At 35.3% G+C, this 14,194-nt stretch overlaps 1 protein-coding gene across 20 annotated transcripts in view; it reads right to left on the bottom strand.

Moving 5' to 3' along the window:
• SPEF2 (sperm flagellar 2) overlaps positions 1–14,194 on the bottom strand; it is a 196,749-nt gene that overhangs the window by 115,495 nt on the left and 67,060 nt on the right. For 16 of the 20 annotated variants that reach the window (XR_925655.3, XM_011514136.4, NM_024867.4 and 13 more), the window contains 5 exons: positions 7,861–8,080; positions 6,393–6,547; positions 4,754–4,829; positions 3,321–3,382; positions 1,324–1,427 (listed from right to left, as the gene is read on the bottom strand). Coding sequence is in view for 19 of the 20 variants with exons in the window: in XM_011514136.4 (XP_011512438.1) it covers positions 1,324–1,427; positions 3,321–3,382; positions 4,754–4,829; positions 6,393–6,547; positions 7,861–8,080 (617 nt within the window). In the remaining variant the exon portion in view is untranslated. The remainder of the gene's footprint in view (positions 1–1,323; positions 1,428–3,320; positions 3,383–4,753; positions 4,830–6,392; positions 6,548–7,860; positions 8,081–14,194) is intronic. The other 4 variants (XM_011514137.4, XM_005248377.5, XM_017009880.3 and 1 more) reach the window with 1 other exon arrangement.

Below are 14,194 nucleotides of genomic sequence, written 5' to 3'. Positions count from 1 at the left end.
ACGAAACTAAAAATCACCCAAATCCAATGATCTTTCCACAGTATCAAGCTGTCTTCAGGTCACTGTCTATATTTCTCTCATTAGGTTATTAAGAGCAGGAAAAGACTTCATTTTGGTTTTATAACTTGTCCAGAGCTTGGTGAAGCATTCTGCATATAATAAATTTGTTGATTCATTGGCCTAAGATGGGAAAGAGAATTTCCTTGAGTTCCTTCGTCCACCCACAGTCACAGAAGCCACTTCAGAGGAAGGGGGAGGTGAGGGCTACCTTTGTTCAGCTGTAGTTTGAGGACATGAGATGATGGGGAGTCAGGAGACCTGGACTTTGGCTGGGGCTATACCACTAGCCAGACATGTAACTGGAGCACCTCACTGAACTGTCATGTGCCTCCCTTTCCTTACAGAAAAACGATAGATTTAGACTGGATCAAAGATTTCACACTGATGACTGTCATCTGGAGGAGCCTCAGGGGCAATGAGGATGGTACTGGTGGAAGGAGGGTAATGGAGTTCTGACGATGGGGTGTGGAGGTTTCAGTTCCACTGAAACTAAAGTGAAGAACTGCTTTATATCTGATGCTTTTCATATACATTTTTATTTGGAGCAGAAGCAAAGAATCCCATGGCTGAAACATGCTTTATCGCCACTTCTGGGAAATGTTACAACTATTAGAGTGAGGCCCCTCCTAGCTCTGGGCAGCCCTGTGATCTGATTTCTAGATATATCATCATTGAGAAGCAACTTAAATTTTTAATGTCATCTTTTAAGAAAACACTAAGGGAAGTCCATTCTAGATGCAGAGTAGAACTCTCAGCCCTCCTTCCTCATCTCTCTTGGTCTCACTGTTTCCACATCCCACATCTCACTACTCAGTTCTGCTTCCTTACCTACTCTAAGTTGTCTGCAGCTCTTTCTCAGGGGACTTTTTGACAGTTTTCTCCAGCCTGCTGACCTTCTCTCTTTATTACATTTGTCAGCCAAGTCTCTCTGGCTTCTTTTTTCCCCGTGGTCTGTGACCACACAATTGAGTCTTTCCCTTGGCTTTTCCAATTACTCAATTTCTCATTGAATTCCCCACAGGTAATAGAACCTGACTTTATTCACATCTGGGTAAAAGAAGTCAAGCTTGGTATGGGAGAAGAAGCGGAATATAGGCACGTAAGTCACAAAATAAATCTACCTTTTCATTGCTGTATATTTTCATATACAGATGAGTGAAATGTATGAGATATTACAACAAAAAATCCGTATTATTCTTTATACATCTTTGTGTGATAAAGAATATATTAAATAGATGAGAGGAAGAAAAATGCAATACATACTTAATAGCATTTACTATGATGTCAACAAGCAGCACATCAGGAATGCTCTTTCCTTTCTTCAGCAACTGTTCTGATTTTGCACCAAGCTGAGCACGTGTAGTGAGCTGGGAAAATAAACAAGAAATGACAGAAGATGGCTAATTTAAAAGTCAAATTCCAAACATTTGGAGGAAAAGTTAATTAAATGACCAGGCTCTCTGATGATGACACTGATCATGTGGCACAGTTCGGGAGTCAGGGAAGCATTTCAGGAAAATGTGTGCACAGAATTTGAGGCTCTTCCTTCGAGCCTCCCTCCCTTCCAAGATCGTACTCTTCAGTTGCAGCAGCTCTTGCATCCCCAAACTTAATTCTCTAATACCTTAAATCAGAAAGATTGAGCTCTCTTCTTGGGCTCTAGCCACTCATGCCATGCAGACAGGGGCATGCCCTCTAGGGAAAACCCATATAAACATGGCCCTTGACCAGTGAAGTTCTCATCTTTCCATGGTCAAATTCCACAGATTTTCTGCCTGTTGTTTGCTGCTTCCTTGTTTGATGTCTTCTTTTAGCACTCAAATAATTATCTTTTATATTTTGCCTAGTGTTTATACTTGTTATTTATAGGTTAGTCCAATACAAGCTACTCAATATCACTGAAACAGGAACTTCCCTAGAGTCTATTCTTAGCTCAGCCACCAGAGTAAGAATTTTATGTCAAATGGTATGGCTCTATTCCAAACCCTGCTAAAATTCTCCCTTTTACTCCAAATGTCCTAATAATTGCCTGAGGCCCTGACTGACCTGATTCTTTTCCTTTCTCACCCATGTCTCTAACCTCATCCCTTACTAAATACTCTCTGGCCCCGCTGGCCAGGCACCTTCCTGCCTCACTATTCTCATGGCCTGGAACACTTCCCCAGATCCAGTGGGCAGGTTCTCTCACCTCTTTCAATCTGCTTAAGGCTCCCTTTCCCAAGGAGGCCTGCCCGATGTCATAAGGTGACCAACTGTGCCTCTTTTGTTGCCCTTGGCCTGTGTTCCTGCTCCCCTTCCTCCACTCCATGTTTCCTTTTCTCATGACACTCATCATCATCTTCAATATCATATTTATCTCTATGTTCATAGTTTATTATGTCTCTCTCCATTAGAATGTAAACACCATAAGGGCAGGAAATCCTGTCTTTTGTATTCACTGATATATCCAAGTTATTAAAACAGTGTACAAAACAATGTATGCTCTTGGAATTGAATTGAATATGGAATTTGTGAGATTTTAAAATCAATAGATGTAAATATAAAACATACTTTCTGCTAATTCATATTTCAAATTCACAGAGTAAAAATTGTAAGTCCCCTTTTCCTGTTTTTTCTGAACCCATTTCCCTTCCCATTGCTCATCTTGTTTACAGTTTGGTGTATATCCTTCCAAAACTTTTTCTATCTTTAAGCAGTTTTGAAACCTAAAATATTATAAAACTGTTTTTCATGATGAGATGCATAATAAAAAAATCAAATATAATACAAAAGATAAAATTCCACTTGATTTAGTCTGGTCATTTTATTTGATGACCAATTAGTTTCCATTAGGAGAAATAGTGAGTGAACTGTTGTAAACAGTTTTTCAGGAATTAATAAACAAATTCTGAAGAGTCACCAACAAGAGTAAGGATAAATTCTGGAAAAAATATTTAAAGGTAAAGAGGGTATGAGCGAAATAAAAGTCATAAATTAAATGGTAAAGATGAAATGAATTTGGTCTCTGTCTAAAAGTTTTAAAAGCACAAGTTTATCACCCTGGCAAAAGTGAAGAATAATTTCCACTGCTTTCAATATAAATATTGAGAATACAAAGAATGCTAAGTAAAGTCAGGTGAGCTAATATTATACCATCAAATTAACTTTGAAACCAAAGAAGAGCACATTGCAATTTCATTGCATTCGAAGACACTCCAAAACACCATTAATCATGACAGGTTTTAATATGTTAGTAGCTAAAATTAGATCATAATACTTACTTTTAAGAAACTATCACTTGATTTGACTTCTTCAGCTTTTGGTGTTTTATCAGCATTAGCACCTAGCAATAGGAAAAGTGGTAAGAACAAATTTCTGGTATTTACACCTAACAACCAAAGCAGTATTTGACCATCTATGGTTTTGGACATAAGGGTTATCAGATCCAGCTATGCCTGAGATGCTCAGAGGAAGGAAGTAATAGAATCACCACAGCATAGCTTTTACCTTCACTCACACCATTAAGATCCTGGTCACTATGTGTCTTGGTGTTTCCCCTCCCTCCCTACCTCCCTCCCTTCCCTGCTCCCTTCCTGCATGATCTGAGCTCATAAAAATATCATTAGGAATACTTTAACACAGTCGGGGTTCGCTTTTCAGAAGACGGTCAAGTTTTTCAAAAAAATGTTAAAATGTTATTTTTTTACACTTTTATTTTCCTGGATTACCAAGTTACAGATAAACATCTTAAAAGCAGATGACTCTAGAAGTCAGAGGTGTTTTAAGTTAAATTCTATGAAAAAAAAAAAAAACCAGAAGTTTTAAGAGTTTGTTTATAATTACTTAGACTAATGTATAATAGAATATGTAATAAAACACTTATAATAGTTTTAAAAATCAACTAAAATTATCTCTTAAGAAACAGATAACAGGAATAAGGGACAGATAGTGTCCTCTTAAGAAAGGCAAGTCCAACCTCTCTGGAGTGTTGTATGCTCATAGTAAACCTGGACATTGTTCAATGGTAATGGCAATAATAATGATAGCACAGGAGGAGCTCGGCTTCATGCTAGAATACGAGGAAGCTATTTAATAAGACAAAGACTTCACTAGCACATACAGGAAAAAATATTTAATACTTAAAATTGTTTTCCTTCAATGGTTCTACAAAGGATCTGAAGGACTGCAGCCCAGATCCCAAGGGAGATAACTTTTTGTTATGTTTGGGAAACTTAGTTGTATTGGTAGTGCCCAAGGCTGAGAATAAATTTAGGAACCACTGTGCATACAGGATAAAAAGACCAGCCCCTACAGCCTTCTGCAATACAATAAACAAAGCAGGAGCACGTAGAAAGCCCCAATTGTACTCATATACCCAGTCTTACACACTGGTGAGAACAAGAAAAGACTGTCTGTCTCCTTGCACAGACAGGAAGAATGAGGATGATTTATCCTGGATTCTTTCATAATGGCAGCAAAACTAATCAACTATTCGAAGGAGGCTGAAAAGATTGCCTTGTAATTTTCATCTTATCCCCAGCTGTAGGCAAGAGTGATCTTGCTCCCTCTGTCAAATGGCCATATGTAGACAACTATGTAAAACTCCCCTTGGTTCCCGTTTATTTCCCTGAAAGCATGTTTGTGCTCACATATATGTGCTCTCATTGTTTCTCTCTCTAATGTAAATAATAGATGATTTGTTTTGAGATCTTACTAAGCATTGTTTCACCTTCTGTTTCTGGTAATACTTCATCTGAAACTGGACCAGCTGAAAATACATGTTGTGGATCCTTTGGAGAGAAAACACACATAGGGAGGGATTTTACCATTGCTATATTTTAATAATCCTCCTAATTTTATATCTATAAGTAAAGGTTTGAGAACAAATACAATACTTTTTGTCTATAACATTAATGATTTTAAAGGAGATTAAAGTTTCAGTTCTAAATTCTTATTTCCAGAAACAAACAATATTGGATGATAATTGCACTTATAGAAATACACAGCAACCTGTGATGTAATCTGTCTTTTGAATGGTCTTCAATTACTATGTAAAATATGCCAACTACTATTTTGAAAAGATAGTGGAACCTGAGGAAAGGGTAAAGTTTATGGAAAACCATCTTGAACAATCCTAGAGATGTCAGTCACAGCCATAAGGTAATTTTTTTAAATGTACATTATCTATTACTTTATTGATTAAAATATAAAGATATTACAACATGAAAGAAGAGATAGCCCACCATAAAGAAAACTTCTCCCAGTTATTTTCAGAATCAATTGTTAAATGATATTTATTTTTGCAGGCTATGCAAATGATCTGGATCAGATTATCAGCTAATTTATTCAATTGCAGAGGCAGCATAAGGTAGAGAGAGGAAAGAGTAGTGGACTTACAATCTGGAAACTTAATCATAGAGAAGCTATTGACAAGCCTTCTGACTCCAAGCAAACCAATTCACGCTTAGGGTCTTTACTGTGTGCTCTGCAGAATGAAGGAGCTGGACTACATCAAGGATTCTGAAGGTGGGGCTACATTTTCCTATTCACCCCTCCACCCCAGGAATCTTCATGCAATAATGAAAAGAGATGCAATATTGATGGGAATATGATACAGGTAAACCTTTCAGAGAGCCATCCCCCAATTGAGATCTACTAATATAGATCAGGTGTCAGCATACTACAGCTCATAGACCACAAAGGCCTGCCGACAGTTTTCATACAGTTTCTGAACACCACTTAAGCAGCCGACCACTGTGAGACTGGAGACAAAGACAGGAGTCCTCCTCTACCTCTGTACCTGCTGGGATTCAACACCTGCCTCAGCCACTGCCCAGGGCCAGCATTGGTCCCTGACTATACACTGGGGACTTTGATGTTAGCAACTGCCAGAAGCTGAGTGGGAGGATCTCAGTCCAGGAGTTGGTGGCTTCTTGAGTTCCCCTAAAACAATCATATGCCACCCTCCCAACCTCCACAATTCAATCTTCACCCACCCCCACTTACCAGCTAGTGGCTCTTTCCTTGGGAGAATGGCTCCAGCTGATGGCTACTAGACCCAAAGGGGGCCCATCACACAAGACAGTCCACCCAGACAAACTGGTGGGAAGCAGGAGTTTTCTCTCTTGTTATACAAGTACCCACATAATATCCTCGATTTTACCTCTTGGCCTAAAATTTGTCCTAAATATTTAACTTAAATATTTATTTTCTAGACTTTTGCAGAACCTAAACTTTTACTCTCTGGGTCTGTACAGAAGAAACTTCTGGTCTAGAGAAGACCTTTTAAATTCCATCCAGCTCCAAATCTCTAATGTACTAGGCGCAGAAGAGAAAACTAGAATCACACTTGCCTGGCTTTCTTTAATCTCCTCTTGCAGAACTGGTAGAGCATCTTCTTCATCATTTTTCTGAATTGGTAGAACCTCACTGACTTTTTCATTGTCATGAAATGCTTGGATAGCTTCTTGGACAAGAGTGTCAATAGAAAGTATCTGTATAGGAAAGTCTAAAGTACAAAAGATAATTTTATAAATAGCTTTTCATTTGGGAAATGGAAATTGTTGTCTTTATGTGCTGGTTTTGTCCTATAACACTGTCTTTCAGGCCCGCTAGAACAGTCTTTTGGATCAAGTTTCTTTTTTGTTTTGTTTGGTTTGTTTTGTTTGAGACGGAGTCTCGCTCTGTCGCCTAGGCTGGAGTGCAGTGGCATGGTCTCAGCTCACTGCAACCTCCGTCTCCTGGGTTCAAGCAATTCTACTGCCTCAGCCTCCTGAGTAGCTGGGATTACAGGTGCATGCCACCACACCCAGCTAATTTTTGTATTTTTAGTAGAGATGGGGTTTCACCATGTTGGACAGGCTGATCTCAAACTCTTGACCTCAGGTGATCCACCCGTCTCGGCCTTCCAAAGTGCAGGGATTACAAGCATGAGCTACCACACCCAGCCGGATCAAGCTTCTTTTTAAAAAACGTGATAAGGCTGGGCACGGTGGCTCATGCTTGTAATCCCAGCATTTTTGGGGGCTGAGGTGGGTGGATCACGAGATCAGGAGATTGAGACCATCCTGGCCAACATGGTGAAACCCTGTCTCTACTAAAAATACAAAAATTAGCTGGGTGTAGTGGTGCGCACCTGTAGTCCCAGCTACTCAGGAGGCTGAGGCAGAAGAATCGCTTGAACCCGGGAAGCAGAGGTTGCAGTGGGCCGAGATTGTGCCACTGCACTTCATCCTGGGCCAACAGAGCGAGACTCTGTCTCGAAAAAATAAATAAATAAATAAAAATAAAACAAAGATAAAAATTGTGATAAAATTCATAAAACATAAAGTTAAGCACTTCCACCATTTAAAGGATACATTTCAGTAGCATTTAGACATTCACAATGTGTGCAACCATCACCATTATTTTGTTCCTGAAATTTTTAATCACCCTAAAAGGAAATCCTAAATCAACTGCTGTCACTCCTCATTCCCCTACCCCTGACTCTGGCATCCAATAATTCCACTTCTTTCTCTATGGATTTGCCTATTTTGGATATTTCATACAAATGGGCTCATACACTATGTGACCTTTTGTGTCTGGCTTTTTTCACTTAGCATAATGTTGTGAAGGATCATCCATGTTGTAGCATGTATCAATATTTCACTCATTTTTATGGCTGAATAATCGTAGCCTGGAAAATTACAAAACTTTTGATGACAGAGATTTCCCAACATATCAGCAGTGCTTCTTGTATGTTTTTTATACACATAGACATTTGCAGCTACAGTCAGTGTAAATAGGACCTAATGGCAGGGAGAGTAGGAGAAGAAATTCTACCTTTTTGTAGAGACCTTAAAATGGTAGTTTTTCCACTTAATGTTTTCCCCAATAAGCATCCTTTAACAGCAAATGAAGGTAATTCAGGTGTTGTTGATTCCGCTCGAGGAGGAAGAGATTTTTCAGCTAGCCTGTGAAGAATATGGCCCAGTATGCAATTGTTGGAGGGTGGTAAATTGTCAACCATTTCTTCTGGTAAGGCCCACTCTCCAACCATGTTCTGTAAAAATAACGATCAAATAAACAGAAATATTCTGAAAAGTGGAATTTAGGTATATGAAATATTTAAATGTTAAAAGTAAATCCAAATTATAGCCAACAAAAGCCAATGAATACTTTAATTATATTATAAAAAGAGTAATAACATTAATAATAGTTTCATATTACAGGGCAGAAAAATGCTTTCTACATAAAAGCAAAGAAAAAAACTAAAAAATCTTAGCTTATGAAAGTGAGCATATAAATTGAGGCATTTTGTAATCTAGGTTGAACATTAAGACATTTAAATTGATGTTATCACCAGTAAGCAGATAAAAGACAGTAATCATTTCTCTGCTATCTTATGCAAGTATTAAATTTATTTTATAATATTTTAAAGTAATAAAAGAGAATTTTCATGCTCAACATCTCTAAGTCTACCGTGTTTAACTCCCGCTTTATTCAGGCTTCTTGATGAAATGATCAAATGATCAGATGGAGGGAAAAAACACTATATGGATCACATTCTCTGACTTCCATGTAATATAATTAGAAGTTGATTTTAGAAATATAGAAAAAAATAAGTATTTAAAAGGAAAAGCATTCTTTAAAAATAATTCTTGTATGAAAGAGTAAATTGAGATTATAAAGTCTAAAAGGAACATTAAAACAACAGATTTATTAAAAATATGGGGTCAGATCAAACTGTACACATAGGAAAATGCCCCTTAGCCTAAAATGCCTTGATCGAGGTGCAATGTTCAATAAATCAGTAGAGTGACCAGAGCAAATAATAAGCTACTGAATATTTCAAAATAGCTAGTAGAGAACAATTCAAATGTTCCTAGCATAAAGAAAAGATAAATGTTTAATATCACAGATATCCCAATTACCCTGATTTGATTATTACATATTTTATAAATGCATCAATACATGTGTTTATTATGTATCAATAAAAAATAAAATAAAAAAGAAGGAAAATAAACAAAGTAGCCATTAAAATAGGGAACAAAAGTAATTTTAAAGTAATCAAACTAGGAAGAAGAAACTTGTAAAAATAAAAATGGAAATTAATAAATTACAGAGTAAAACTATCCAGATACTCTTTATTGATAAAATTCTAAAACCTATCCTTATTAATAATGGATAATGAAATTTCTACTACTTTGTCACAAAAGAGAAGAATAGTAAGTATCAATGTTGTAACATAATAGGAAAAAAGGTAACAGCAGACAAATGTACCCTCTGTTCATCATAGTACTATTCACAATAACAAAAACATGGAATCAACCCAAGTGCCCATGAAGGGTGGAATGGATAAAGAAAATGTGGTACATGTATACCATGGAATAGTGCACAGCCATAAAAAATAATGATATCTTGTCCTTAGCAGCAATATGGGTGCAGCTGGAGGCCATTATCTTAAGCAAACTAATGCAGAAGCAGAAAATCAATGCTGCATTCTCACTTACAAGTGAGAGCTAAACATTGAGTATACATGGACATAACGATGAGAACAATGAACACTGGGGACTACTAGAGGGAGGAGATGGGGAGAGTGCAAGGGCTAAAAAGCTACCTATTGGGAACTTTGCTCACTAGCTGGGGACAGGTTCAGTCATACCCCAAACATAGCATCATGCAATATACTTCCATAATATTTGTGCAATACACCTCTGTAACTATCTGTAACAAATGTTACAGAAGTATATTGCATGGTATAATTTTAATAAAAGCAGGAAGCGGGAAGAAAAAGAAAATGTTAGGTACAACTATAGTATAATAAATTTGGATTTATAACTGTATGGTAATAAATGATATTCTAAGATAGTGCAAATGAATAAAATGAAATAAAATCTTTGAAAAGATAAAAGCCATGAAAGAAATGAAAAAGATGTCATAGAACTATACTTATTAAAATTGAAGACACTAATGGTTTACAGAAAAATTTTCTTTCCTTAACTGAACAGAAATGTAAATGTTTAAAAGTCTTCTAGAGTACAGAAGAAGATAGAAAGCTTTCCTGTTTATTTGGCAAGACTAATATAACCCTTATACAGAAAATATATCAAAGATAATTGACAAAAACAACATCCCAAAAGAAAACTACAAGCCAATCTCATTTGGAAATATTTGGCACAAATCATGTATACAATACTAAAATCAACATAATATTAACAGACAATGAAGATACTAATTGACATTGACTGCATACTATGTAGCATATACTGTTGTTTTCATGCGTTATCTCAAACGATTCTCACACAACTCTTACACAAGTATTATTATCTTCCTGATTCATAGAAGAAAAATCTGAGTATTGCAACGACTAAGTTATTTTCCCAGGGTCATAATAAAGAGTAATGGTAAAACCTAGATTGGAACCCGGGCAGTCAGATCCCAGAACAGGTACTCATATCCAGTATATGATGTTGACTTTATCCCACCATGACTGAATAAGAATTATTTCATGAATCCAAGGAAGGCTAAATACTAGAAAGCCTATGTACTATATGCATTAATAGGTTAAAATAAAAAAAAGCATATGATCATTTTGACAGTGAAACAGCTGATAAAACTCAACATTTATTTCTGATTTGAAAAATACAAGAAAAATAAACAAAATAAAACAATATCTTAGTAAATTATGAATTGAAGATAACTTTCCTAACACTCTCTGGATCAATGGTAAATCAAAATAAACTACACATTTTTCCATTAAAGGCAAGAACAAGAAAAAGTTGCTCATCATGAGTACTATTAGTCACATTATTTGGGAAGTTCTAGTCCGTGCAACAAAATAAGAAAAAGAAAGAAGCAGCACTGTCTCTAGAAGTAATAGTGGCTGCTGAAGAGCAGAGTTCCTGGTGCAGAGGTGGCAGCTATAACCTGAACTGCTGCTAGTGCTCTGGGGTGGTGGTGGCAGTGACAATTTTCTTGTCAGACTTTGCTATGATGGTTCCGGTGATTTTCTTTGGAAGTTTAACCTTGAGCCTACTTCTTGAGCTCACCTATGGATTCTTTGAACCACCCACCATATTTTGAGTATTTTCTTTTCCTGCTTATTCAACAAGAGTCCATTTTTTTGCCTGCAAATTTTTTGCTTGCAAATTTTTTTGCTTGCAAAAATTTTTTGCTTGCAATTTTTTTTGCTTGCAAAAGCTGACAAAATCAACGGAATTAACAAAAAATGTATAGATTCTGTATATAGAAAGCTTCAAAATTTGACTATTAAGAAAAATGACTTGAATAGAGGGTGAGATAAAAAGGTTCAAAATTATAAACCATTTAATTCTCCTCCAAATTAATCTAACTTAATGTTTAATGACAACAAAAGTGCTAGTGTCATTTCCCCTAGTTATCGCTCAAAGGTTGATATGACAAATGATTTGAAAGTTAAAGTGGGCCTGGTGCGGTGGCTCACGCCTGTAATCCAAGCACTTTGGGAGACCGAGGTGGGCAGATCACGAGGTCAGGAGTTCGAAACCAGCCTGACCAACATGGTGAAACCCTGTCTCTACTAAAAATCCAAAAATTTGTGCCACTGCACTCCAGCCTGGGCGACAGAGCTAGACTCCATCTCAAAAAAAATGTTAAAGTGCAAGAAGAAATATAATGGGCAAAAAAAAAAAATCCATTAAAAATACTTTAAAAGGAAAGTAATGGGAGTGTTGCCTTGTAAGTTACGAAAGCACTTTTTAAAAATATGGTAATGAAAAGAATGAGTTGCAGGGACAGAATATTCACTGTGCAAAAATATAGATTCCAGAAACAGATCTAATTATATGTAAAAGTTTCGTATGTAATAAGGTTTATATTTCACATTAGCAGAGAAAGATTATTTTACAACTGGTATTTGAAAAACTAGTTATATATTTGGAAAAAATAATGTTAGATATCCTTATACTTTCATAAAAATAAATTGACACCAGAAGAATGAACGACATAAACAAGAAATCTAACAGCATCAAAATTTGGGTGAACACTTATATGCTCCACAATTGTTTTTCCAAGCATAACACCAAAGCTGAAAACCACAAAGGAAAAAGTTGGTAGTTTGATTATACTCTATAAAAATAAAATCTTCTGCACATCCTCAAGCACACACACACAAACACACATAATTCACTCACACACTTCAAAAACAAAAAACAAAAGCAAAATATCTGCAATATATATATGTGTATATACATATATATTTGATGAAAGGTTAAGGATTTTAGTGCATAAAATATGTAATCAGAAAAATAAAAATAACAGAAAAATGGTGGAAAGGCTATAAATGGGCAATTTTGACAGTAGAACAAAATGGCCAATGAGTTTATAAAGAAATGTTCAAATTCATAGTAATAAAAGATATCCAGATAAAGCAATGATGTACCATATTTTGCCTAAAACCAAAAGATTGAGTCATACTTCTCATTCACCACTATTGAGAGGGTAAATTAGTATATTGATTTATTGTGTTTTCTAAAGTGTCCAAAATTGCTGTAATAGTTCTGTCATAACAATAAAAGTAATTAAGACATACAAATCAGATAAGAATTAAGATTTTTTATTTACATACACATATAGGTAAAATGGTATTTTTCTGTAGTCACTTGAGGATCTTTAAAAATTATCTTCAGTGCACATAAAATGTATTTAGTAACATGATTATGTAATAATTTCATTACCTAGATATTATTCCATTTGCACTCTATCAAAGACAAAGAATAGAAATACATGTAATTTATATTTTAAGATTATTTGGAATTAGTACATATAACCTATTTATTAAACTATTCAAACTTCAAAAACCCCAAAATATTGTTTCAGCGGTGCAGAGATGTCAAATCATAGTGGAATACTGAAAATTAGAAATTTCAAGATACATTAGTATTTTGTTAATCACATAAGTCTCCTCAAAATTGTATCTCAGATGATCAATTCTATTAGCACTTGTATTATGTCACTGCCCCTAATCATCTTAATGTAAGTCTTTTCAGTCCAAAGATCAGGGATAGAGAAACATAAGCAATGCCCATTTGGGGAGATAAAGGAACTCCCTCATCAAAATAGGTGCTTGTGAAATCCAAAGAGAGAACCAAAACAAAAGACAGGGTACATTATATTTCATTATATTTCTTTAAGAAACACCAGCCAACTTCTGCTAGTCTGGATTGCCTTAAGTCAGTTAGATTTTTTTTTTTTTTTTGAGGAAGGTATGTGTCTTTTTCTTGTGTATGATTTAGCTCATTTCCTAACCATTTTCTGGAGGGGAACTCTTTCCTAGTTTAAAAATTATTGGCCAAATTTGACCACTAATTTGAAAGACATTTTTTTCATTTCAGTCAAATAGATGATGTGTGATTTATAAATATTACTACACTATCATTAAGAAATGAGCAAGTCACATTTTTGGCTTATAAATAAATGCCCATATTATATTTTTAATTCTTAACTCTTGATTAATATGACAAAGTGGCCCTTAGTAACAGATTAAGTCTACAAGTGGAGTTATTTATTTAAATAACTTGAAGTAAGAAAAGTTTGTTTAGGCCACTTTTGACAATATTTCTATAATTACGCTATGTCATATATAAATAAGTATATCCCTGTGTTCTTGCTTTTCTTTCATCAGTATTCTTTTCATACCCATTATCTGACAAAACACACTTACTCAGAATATAAGTTGTCAACTTTGGTAAGTGCTATGAATGGCTTGTCTGGTTTGGTGCCAGAATTTCTGATATGAGAACACTGCAGATAAGAAAATACTTTTTGAAACAAATTTTTAAAACCCCAAAGTACTCATAGTAAGTTTTTCTTTAAAATTGGTGTAATGTAGTTATACATAAATTTTAGTGTATTTAGTATATAAATATAATCCTATTTGACTGCCACTTCTATACATACTACCCTGTATTTATAAAAAGTATTTTTAGTTTACTGCCTTTGTTTTTTCTAGGAGCTCTGTACATAATAATAATCTGCACTGTTCAAAATTAGCCAAATACTAATTGGATCTGCAAAATTATTGGTTGCACTATAGTTGATTACTTGCTTCTGCTTTCATTCATTGGAATTATTTATACTTCGAATTAGACAAATGGTGATTATTTTATGTAATGTGGCCAATTAGAAACTAACCAAA

The sequence above is a fragment of the Homo sapiens genome, chromosome 5 (assembly GCF_000001405.40).
Source record: "Homo sapiens chromosome 5, GRCh38.p14 Primary Assembly".
NCBI classification, from domain to species: Eukaryota; Metazoa; Chordata; class Mammalia; order Primates; family Hominidae; genus Homo; species Homo sapiens.
Note: the sequence above shows the minus strand (reverse complement) of the source record. Positions and strands in the feature narration are given on the sequence as shown.